This window comes from Homo sapiens, chromosome 12 (assembly GCF_000001405.40).
Source record: "Homo sapiens chromosome 12, GRCh38.p14 Primary Assembly".
Classification (NCBI taxonomy): domain Eukaryota; kingdom Metazoa; phylum Chordata; class Mammalia; order Primates; family Hominidae; genus Homo; species Homo sapiens.
Genome location: NC_000012.12, coordinates 54,674,327 through 54,685,148, shown reverse-complemented (window position 1 = coordinate 54,685,148; position 10,822 = coordinate 54,674,327). Strand labels below are relative to the sequence as shown.

At 44.4% G+C, this 10,822-nt stretch overlaps 2 annotated features.

The window, feature by feature from the left end:
- Window positions 907-1,577: an enhancer, noted in NCBI's record as "OCT4-NANOG-H3K27ac-H3K4me1 hESC enhancer chr12:55077356-55078026 (GRCh37/hg19 assembly coordinates)". NCBI's record gives its function as "activates a minimal SCP1, AML or CMV promoter by ChIP-STARR-seq in naive and primed H9 embryonic stem cells {active_cell/tissue: H9 hESC(naive and primed)}" and the evidence as "EXISTENCE:reporter gene assay evidence [ECO:0000049][PMID:30033119]".
- Window positions 1,578-2,247: an enhancer, noted in NCBI's record as "OCT4-NANOG-H3K27ac hESC enhancer chr12:55076686-55077355 (GRCh37/hg19 assembly coordinates)". NCBI's record gives its function as "activates a minimal SCP1, AML or CMV promoter by ChIP-STARR-seq in primed H9 embryonic stem cells {active_cell/tissue: H9 hESC(primed)}" and the evidence as "EXISTENCE:reporter gene assay evidence [ECO:0000049][PMID:30033119]".

Here is a 10,822-nt window from a genome sequence, read left to right as displayed (position 1 = left end):
ACTCTCTGCAGGCTCCTGTGGGCTGGAAGCCTCACCTGTTCACATTCCTGCTGCTTGGGACACTTCTCCCAAAGCTAGCCCTGGAAAATTAAAATTAAAGTGAATCATACATACAACATGTGCACACACAGGCAAAATAGATACACAACATACATATACCAAACACACAGACCCAACACATACACACATGTGTACACATCCTCGGACACAGCACATGCACACACCTCACACCCCTCATACACTCTTACACTGAAACCCTCAGGCTGCCAGCCCCTCTCCCTCTCCCTGCCTCCCAGGCAGATGCCACATCCTGTCCTGGCTGACACTGCAGTGTTTACATCTAATGCCTCCCCTCCTCTCCATACCCATTGTCCCTGAACAATATCAGACCCTTAATCTCTCTCAATCTCCTCCTTCTATTCTTCCCCCTTATGATACAAGCTAATTAACCTCCAATTCTTTTACTTAACTTTAATCGGAACTAGACGGTAGGAACCCTGCCACGCCCATCTCTCAGACACAAGCGCCCAGGAAATCCTAAAGGTCACTTGGGAAATTAGGGGCAGGGCTGGAATTCAAACCTGGGGACCCTAACCCTAGAGCCTGTTATGTTGCCTCTCCCATAGGGTCCTAGCCTAACCATGCTGAGCTCACAGCCACAGCTCCATTCTACTTCCTGCCTCCCAAAATCGCTGTTCCCAAGCTCCCCTGAAAGGATGGGCAGAAACCTCCCTGACTTCGCTTTGCTCCCTACCTGGGAGCTCCCGTTCACCACCCAGGAGCTTGTCAATGCACAGTCTACTCCCCTGTGACAGTTAATAGACCACCTTACCACCCCCCATAAGATCAGCTGTGCAGCACTGGACCCACAGCACCGGTCCTGGGCAGGCAGTCAGCCAGAGGGCTAAGAGCACACCAGGGGCTGGGGAGAGATGAGGACGGGAGCCTACGGTCAGTTTCAGATCTTGCTATGAACAAATGCTATCGACCACTACCAGGGAATCACCTCACCCTTCAGTGGGACCCTGCCTATTCTCCCAGTCCTTACACACACACACACACACACACACACTCTCTCTCTCTCTCTCACTACCCCTAGTACCTCCATCTTAATTATAGACTCTAGAGACTTTAAAAAACCATGACAAAAATAACTGACTACAGACCTCCTGTCATGTAGGAGATTGACAGCTTTCATCCAGGGACAGATGTTTTTCATTATTTTGTTTTTTGGGGGGCTTTGTCTTTGTTTTTCTTTCTTTCTGTCTTTTTTTTTTCTTACAAATACATCCTGAGCACCTCTGAATGGTCTTTGCTGGAGAGGACTAAGGTTCTCCTAGGCAACAGGAGACAGGAAAACTAAACTAACTGGTGTGCAGACCAGTGCCTGGCAGGTGGTAAGCACTCAATAAATACTTGTTTTGTAAATGAATGAGTGTCCTCAAAAAGTGAAAGAAATTACAAAAGGGGCCAGAGGTGAGAGACAATAGCCAGGAGACAGTCCAGGGAGAGAAGCCTCGTGGGAGGACGAGGCCTGAGAGGAGGTTGGATAGTGAGAAATTCTGTCAGCCATGGCCAATAAACTTAGGCTGTGAGTGATTAATAGTCAATACAAAACTGTTTGTCATGCTGTGATGTCAACCCAAGCCTTCAGCAAGAACTTGTCTCCCACAACAGGGGGGACTCAGAGAAAGGAGACTAAGTCTGGTATGGGGGCAGTGGGGATTCAAAGCTGACAGAATAGCTGCAGAGAACAAGGTACCAATGAGAATAGCAGTGGTGCAGGAAGAGGAAATCATAGGGAGAGATGATCATTCAAAAGCCCCCCAGGGATCTGCAGATATTTGGGAAGAGTGGGCTGGTCTTCTCCTGTATGTGATTTTTCATGTATTAAAAAGAGAGATTAAAGAAGATTAGAGGACAAGGAGACTCCCAGACTTGAGATAGATACATTATAAATATACAGCCATAGCATACACCTTTACAGAAAAGCTACGCACTTACAGCAAGACGTAAAGCCAGAGTAAAGAACTCACCCAGCTCCACTGTGCACAACACACTCTGCTACACAGCAGACAGGCACATTCCTTCCCTCCTCTGGGCTGTCTAATAGGTGTGGATGGAATGATATCCACCTAAGCCCCCACCCCTCTATCTCTGAATCATGAATGAAGCTGAATCCCTCCATACATCCAGCTGGCCCATTCCTTGTGACTCCCTCAGGAGAGGAAGAGTGGGAGGGAATGGAATCCAACTCAAGAGAAAACCAGAGGGAACCCAGCAGGGATTGTGGCCATTTAGGACATTTCAGGACACAATGACCTCCTGAGTTCCTGGAATCTCAGCAGGGAATAGGAACTCTTGTGTCCTTCATACCCCACTGGGCAATTCTTTTTTCCCCAACCCCAGCTCACAAGTGAACTAACAGGAACATAAAAATTGTACCTGTCCAAGTCATTTCCATAACGGAATTGGCAACTCCTGTATCTGGGCTTGAATCCCTGGTGCCCCCAGGTATTAAGGGGTGGGTCAGGAGGACGGGAGGTTGGCAAGGACCCAGACCTAACTCAGGCCCATCAGTTCTTTGGAACTGTCTCCAATTGCCAAAAGTAGATAAAGACAGAGCAAACAGGTGACTCTTTTCTCCTGTTTAGGACTCTGTCTTATAACAGCCTCCCATAAAATAAACCATCCCACTCTTTAGACGACTCCTTCCACCTCACATCTATGTTGTTCTTCACTTAAAATCAATACCACTAAGCCTATTTATCCTGGCTTTGCCCTTCCCCTTCTACATCCAAGACTCACAATGAGCAGTGTTTTCCAGAGGCCCGCACTTCTACCTGCCCTCATATCCATTGCTGCCACACAGGTTTCTTCTTTCAGGAAGCCCCCTAAAATTCATTGCCTCCCTCAGAATTTCCCAGGATCTAATGATGCCTCAGCTCCCCATCCCTCTGGGACAAGGAAGTTTAGCTTTCACTAAATATGTCAGTGGCTTTGCTAAAGCCAAGTCCAAGACATGAGATGGCAAGGTGAGAAGCACAGCTTTGTCACAAATAAACCAGAACTCCTAAGTGGCCATTATCCTCCTCAAACTAGTCACTCTAAGAGGTAAAGCACTTGTTCCAAAAAAGCAGCCATTGCTCCAAAAATATTTGTAGGACCTCCCTTTTATAATAACTTTTAGAACCTTTTTAGCAGGCCATGCAAACCAGAAAGGCTTGCATGGTGTAGCCAAGCCCTGTTTTCAATTTAAATCTCTCTCCTCTTATTCCTTACCATTAAATGGCAATGCCATTTGACTGTTTCCAAACATCAACTCAGACTTTATAGGTCCATAATGTGTTACTCCAAGACAATTGAAAGCCTAAGACATTTATCTAAGGTGTTTTTCTGGTAAGTGCATATAAAATTCAGCCTCTTTGCCTTCTGGTCATACCCAGTGACCTTGACCAAGGTGACTGGTTGGCTTGCATCCAATCAGGGAAACAGCCTCCACTGCAGTGCCTACAGGTGCTTGATAGAAAGACCGTGAAGTCAAAGTGCTGGGTATGAGATGGCTCGTGTAATAACAATTAATATCTGTGTCTTGGATATGCAAAGTGTCTCCTCCATCAGATGAGGAGCTTCTAGAAGGATCTAGGTCATTCTCTCCTACAGGATTCCACATTCTCTACCCTCTGCTGTCCAGGACAAGTCCTTGCATGCAGTAAAAGGACTAGAGAAAGGATATGCAGGACACAGGGGCAGTGAGGCATGTAACCATCGGATCTTCCACCAGTCCTCCTCTGAGGGCAGCCTCCCAGCCCCGTTACTCACAAAGGGGCATGTTTTTGTTGTTGTTCTTTTGTGTGTGTGTGTGTGTGTGTGTGTGTGTGTGTGTGTGTTTGGTTTTTTGTTTGGTTGGTTGGTTTTTGGTTTTTGGTTTTGTTTTGTTTTGTTTTTGAGAAGGAGTCTCATTCTGTCACCCAGACTGGAGTGCAGTGGTGTGGTCTCAGCTCACTGCAACCTCCGCCTCCCAGAATCAAGCAATTCTCCTGCCTCAGCCTCCCAAATAGCTGGGATTATAGGCACATGCCACCATGCCTGGCTAAATTTTTGTATTTTTGGTAGAGACAGGGTTCCAGCACTTTGAGAGGCTGAGGCGGGCGGATCACCTGAGATCAGGAGTTCAAGACCAGCCTGGCCAACAAAAGGGTATGTTTTTAACCATTTCATCCTATGCCTGTACCTCTTACCCCATTTGGGACTGATATTGAACTTGGGCCACCTTTTTTAAATTAATGAAAAAGTCTTGACCAAACAGCCCCCTGCCCCTTCCCCTTCATTCCTGTTAAGCTCATTCCCCTTCAATTCCTCGGCTTTAGGAGGAGAGAAAGGCAAGCAGGGCTGGAGCTGGAGAGGTAATTTCTTGCTGCAAGTTCTGAGTTGGGAACTCTGAGGGCTAATTTCCATCTGAGAAAAGGCTCATGCTCAGTAGGACTTGCCCTATTGTGTTTTCAGGGATCTAACAAGACTGACTTTGGAGACTGAGAATGCAGTACCCACCTCTGCCTGTAGTGGTGCACTCACCAGTGCATGCACACACCCCACCTCCACTACACCTCGGATTCCTCCATTCCTGCCAAGATCATGCTACCCTGCTAGCCACTCACACTGAATCCCGTGGGCATGCCACCCTCTCCCTCACCCATAATCCCCACGTTCAGCCAGGAGCCAGATCTTGTCCTTACAGTTGAATAGCTGATCTTGTCCTTACAGTTGAATAAACTGCTGTGTTTATTCAACACATACCCTTTTCTCTAGCCCCACATTCCTAAACTACTGTCCCTCTCTTCTAGGGGCTTCTTAGCACAGGTTACATTGATCTCAAATTCTTACATTAAGTTCAGTTTCATTCCTAGGCTGTAAAGTTTTTGAGGCAGGGAATCTTACTAAACTAATTTCTCTGACTCCAGTGCCCAACAGCTGGAGGGGGAGCTACAGGAAACAGCGTTAGGTAGAGTTGAACAGAAAATGTAGCTGGGACTTCATTTGTCTAGCAGATACTAGGTATCCGAGAACCAGACCACACACCTGCCACTTGTCTAGCCTGTGTTGGGAGGAGGAAAGAAGATGAGGTTTATAATGAGCTTGATAGTAAAGTTTCAAGAATAGACCTTAATAACCAAATGACTAGAAAGTCATGGGATCTTCCCAGTGTGCCATTAAAAAACAGGAAAGGAAGATTTGACAGAGCATACCTGGAGGCAATGATTGCAGGAAAAATAAAACAATGATATATTTACCACACCAAGTTCAAACTGCTCCACAAACTAGTTACAGCTGTTTACAAAAATCAAGTCAACCCACAAAAGACCAAGATTTGCCCATGTTGACTCTTGAAGGATCTTCTGAGGCATCTAGTAAAAATTCAGCTCCATTGCCTTCCAGTTACCTATCCCCTACGAGGCCAAGTTGAGGAGCCAAGGGTGTCAGGGGAGTGAAGCAGCTTGGCAGAGACCAGTCACATCAATCACAGCAGTCATGCTAAGATGGCCCTCATAGACACAACCTGTCTACATCTGGACCTCAATGAGTCGGAGTCATTTTCTCCTTTTTGGAGTCTCTTACTCCTCCCACTCCCAGGCAAGGTCTGCATGGGAGAAGGCAGAAGAATGGGTAAAGTTGTTCAGGAAAGTCTAACGGGTTGAGGATATCCAACTTTGCAAATAGATGGCTATTTATCAGCTCTAAGATGGCTTAGTGGAGAAGAGGCTTTCAACAGGCCACACGAGAGGGGAGGAGTCTTCTTTCTGACAGGCTCCAAAGAGTATCCACCTAACAGGCACATTCAATTTCTTCCTTTCCCTTACATTTTAAAATGACATTGCATCTGAGACCTAATGTATATAATGGGGGAAAATGCCACAGAATACATGCCCCTATGTCTCAAATCTCCATTTCTGTAAATGGTTTACCATTAACTCTTGAAGTCAGGAATGAGGCAACAAGAGGACTGGGCAAATGATAAGTAATGATGTTTAGAAAGACCCTGCTTTGTGGCAGTTTTGGTGTTACTGTCAGATATCTGATTTCCTCTTAGAAAAGACACGCAGTTCCAAAGTTTGCAATGGTTTGTTCTAAGGCTCTGCTGCTGGAGATTATTGGGGTCCTGGGTTCAGAGCTTTTCTCTTTGCCCACCCATCCATACACATACACACACAGACACACACATTCACACATACGAACACACACACACTCACACACACCAGTGTTTCCCAGACTCAAGCCCTCAGACATGCAGGACCTACCCATTTCCCCTACTTCTCTCATGTAAGTAACTCCAAAGTCCACGGCACCTCTGAATATTTATCCAGCACATGCCCTTTACACACTGACCCTAAAGTACATCAGACCCTCATTCTCTCTCTTTTGGGAGATCCCCCATTAAGAATCCAGAGCAATCACAAATTCTTTATATCAATTTTAATGCTGACTATGAATCCTTTAAGAATAGGAATCTACACATTTCCCCCTCCATAATCAGTGCCTGAAAACAAAAATTACCTAATGGATAAATGGGGCCCAAGTCTAGAAATCCTGTCCCATCTCCTGCTATCTCCTCCACCCCATTCTACCCCAACACTGCCAGGAATCTCCTCCTGAACATTCTTAATTAGAGGACCGGCTGACTCCTAGGCCCTGCAATTCCCGATCACTTTATTTCCACTTCGTGTTGAGTTCAGTGTCTCCTGCAAACCTACTGGAACTTCCTCCCTATCTCCCAACCCCTACAAGAAGCAGCCTTTGAGATAGGGCAGGCCTGCTCACCAACAAGCCAGGCAAGGTGTCTTAACCCTGCTTCTGACACTTCCCATGAGGCCTGTCCTAGAGAACCTCACACAGCACCTCCACAGCGTGCCAGGGAAGCCCACAGCCAATACTGTTTGCCCACGCTGGAAAGGATTGGGGGAATTCAGAGAACTTCAGAAAAAGCTGTAGGTAGAAAGAGATTCCCAATTTGAGGCATAAACGATGAGTAGATTTAGACACACTGCGAAAATAAGACAAAGGTTCTCAGAGCAGCAACACGGGAAAAGTTATTAACTAATGAAAAACTTGATCCACTGAGAAATTTTCAAAAAAATTCTTGTATCAAAGGCATGAAGTCCAAATGAGGGATTGAGGAGAGGAAAAAAAACTAAAACCTAGGTGGGGCTAAATCAGGAAAGGTCATGTTTGCTCTGCTAAATATCAGAGTTTTATCCCTAAGAGCAATTAGGAGGCTTTGGAAGGTTTTAAGCAAGGAGTGACAGGATCATATTTGCATTTTAAAAACCATTCTGGCAGGCATCCTAACAGGTGTGAGGTGATAGCTCATTGTGGTTCTGACTTTCATTTCCCTGATAATTAGAGCACCTTTTCATACAACTCTTGACCGTTTGTATGTCTTCTTTGAAGATATGTCTATTCAAGTCTTTTGCCCATTTTTTAATAGGGCTTTGTTTTCCTGCTATTGAGGTGTAGGAGTTCCTTATATATTTTGGATGTTAACCTCTTACTAGGTATATGGTTTGCAAATATTCTCTTCCATACCATAGGTTGCTGTTTTACTCTGTTGGTTGTTTACTTTGCTGTGCAGCAGCTTTTTAGTTTGATATAGCCCCACTTGTCTATTTTTTACTTTTGCTGACTGCACTTTTGGTGTCAAATCCAATAAACCATTGCCAAGACTAATACCAAGAAGCTTTTTCCCTGTGTTGTCTTCTAGGAGCCTTATAGTTTTGGGGTCTTACATTTAAATCTTTAATCCAGTCTAGGAGATTTTTGTGAATGATGTAAAATAAGGATCCAATATCATTCTTTTGCACTTATTTATCCAGTTTTTCACACCGTTTGTTGGAGAGACTTTCCTTTATATTATTTTATTGTTTTAGGCAATATCATAAATGAGATTGATTTCTTAATTTCCTTTTTTGATAGTTCATTGTTAGTGTATAGAAAGGAAACTGATTTTGGTGTGGTCATTTTTGTATCCTGCAACTTTACTAAATTTGTTTATTAGTTCTAACAGGTTTTTTTTTTTTTAGATGGAGTCTTGCTCTGTCACCAGCGTGGAGTACAGTGGCGTGATCTCAGCTCACTGCAACCTCTGACTCCCTGATTCAAGAGATTCTCCTGCCTCAGCCTTCTGAGTAGCCAGGATTATAAGCAGGCACCACCATGCCCAGCTGATTTTTGCATTCTTAGTAGACACGGAGTTTCACCACGCTGGCCAGGATGGTCTCAATCTCCTGACCTCATGATCCAATTGCCTCGGCATCCCAGCGTGCTGAGATTACAGGCATAAGCCACCATGCCCAGCCTCTAACAGGTTTTTGTTTTTGTTTTTGTTTTTTTTTGGTGGACCTTTCAGGTTTCTCATCCATCCGCCGAGTAGAGAGACATGTTGACTAGAGAAGTGTTGTAGAACTGATAGGCAATGATAAGTGCCCAGTGTAGATTTGTAGTAATCAATTTAAACTAAGACCAACTAGCATATTATTTTCTCCAACAATGGCCAGTTGAAGAAGTACAGACACCAAGAAGGCAGGAGTGGGACAGTTATGTATGTGCTTAAGGACTCTGTGACAGACTTCTTTTCATTTAAACTAATATATGACCAATTTTACACAAACTGCATTTTTAAAAAATATCCATGACAACAACACTGGACCATCTCCCATACCCTGAGTGTCCATGAACCATCCTTTGTATGCTTCCCAGATTATTGCAGACCCACTCTCTAGGGAGGTCTCAGCCTTGCCGAAGGTCTTCATATGATACTTTAACAATTTGGGTTTTGTTTGTTTGGTTGATTGGTTTTGTTTTGTTGTTGTTGTTTTTCAAGATGGAGTCTTGCACTGTTGCCAAGGCAGGAGTGCAGTGGCATGATCTTGGTTCACAGCAACCTCCACCTCCCGGTTCAAGCAGTTCGCATGCCTTAGCCTCCCAAGTAGCTGGGACTACAGGCACCCACCACCACACCTGGCTAATTTTTTTTTTTTTTTTTTTTGAAACAGAGTCTCGCTCTGTCGCCCAGGCTGGTGTGCAGTGGCACAATCTCTGCTCACTGCAAGCTCCACCTCCCGGGTTCCCACCATTCTCCTGCCTCAGCCTCCCAAGTAGCTAGGTCTACAGGTGCCAGCCACCACTCCTGGCTAATTTTTTTGTATTTTTAGTAGGGGTTTCACCCTGTTTAGCCAGGATGGTCTCGATCTCCTGACCTTGTGATCTGCCTGCCTCAGCCTCCCAAAGTGCTGGGATTACAGGTGTGAGCCACGGTGCCTGGCCATACCTGGCTAATTTTTTGTATTTTTAGTAGAGACGAGGTTTCACCATGTTGGCCAGGGTGGTCTCAAACCCCTGACCTCAGGTGATCCACCCGCCTCTGCCTCCCAAAGTGCTGGGATTACAGGTACTTTAACAATGTGTATGACAGCCAAATCATTCTTAAAAAATAAGTCAAATGTTTTAAATATTTGAGTCCACTGAAAGATTAGTGTATGCTTCAAACTATGATCCAAAAACTCAGAAAGTCAGGAAAGGTTGGGATTATTGCTTGATGCTTTGTGAAATAGAGCAATGAAGCTTTGTTTCTGAATTCTCCATCCCTTTTGATTTCTATAAAGCATAGATTCTGGCAACAGAAGTTCCAAAAATCCTGCTTCTCCCTCTTTAGAGGGGTAAGACCTGACTACAAAGGGATATTTTTGTCACTGGAAGTTTCACTGATGTTTTCCTCCTTTTCTAAACAGTAAGATTCAGACAATACACCCTGGAGCCACAAGGCCAGCACCAAGTGCTGTAGTTTTAGGGACCTGAGTGGACTATCTCTGACAAAGAATCATTTCAAGGGATTAAACATTCTGATGTATTGATTCTGATGACTGGATAATATCTTAGAGATCCCAGAAATTGTCAGGCAATGTGACTAAACATCTCTCACCTAAAGAGTCCTAGGTGGACTATTTCTAGAAGACCATTAATTCCAAACACTTTTAGAGAGAGAACACAGAAAATAACAGAATAATTATCACTTAATATATTTGTGTAAATTTTAGTACAATTCAAGTACAATTGTTGAAATTTCTAGAATGTAATGTAATAGACACAGCATGCTTCAAAACCATACATTAGAAAATAACATCGGTAGAATAATTACTCTGGGTATATACTCACAGATTTTAATCCGTTTCTCAGTCATGTCTGTCTCTAACACCAAGTCACCAGTTTTATTCTGAAGAACATTCTTTTCAATATGATCTTGGGTTTTCTTTCTTCTTTTTTTTTTTTTAAGAAACCACCGGGCGCGGTGGCTCACACCTGTAATCCCAGCACTTTGGGAGGCCAAGGCGGGGGGATCACAAGGTCAGGAATTAGAGACCAGCCTGACCAACATGATGAAACCCCGTCTCTACTAAAAATACAAAAAATTAGCTGGGCATGGTGGTGGGTGCCTGTAATCCCAGCTACACAGGAGGCTGAGGCAGAAGAATCACTTGAACCTGGGAGGCGGAGGTTGCAGTGAGCTGATATCGTGCCATTGCACTCCAGCCCAGGTAACAGGACAAGACTCCATCTCAAAAAAAAGAAAAAAGAAGAAAAAAAAAAAGAAACAGAGTCTTGCTCTGTCACCCAGGCTGCAGTGCAGTGGCACAATCTTAGCTCACAGTCCCACCTCAAATTCCTGATCTCAAGGGATCTTCCCGCCAAGTAGCTAGGACTACAGGTAACACACCCCCACACCAGGAAATTTTTTTAATTTTTTGTAGAGACAGGGATCTTGCCATCTTGC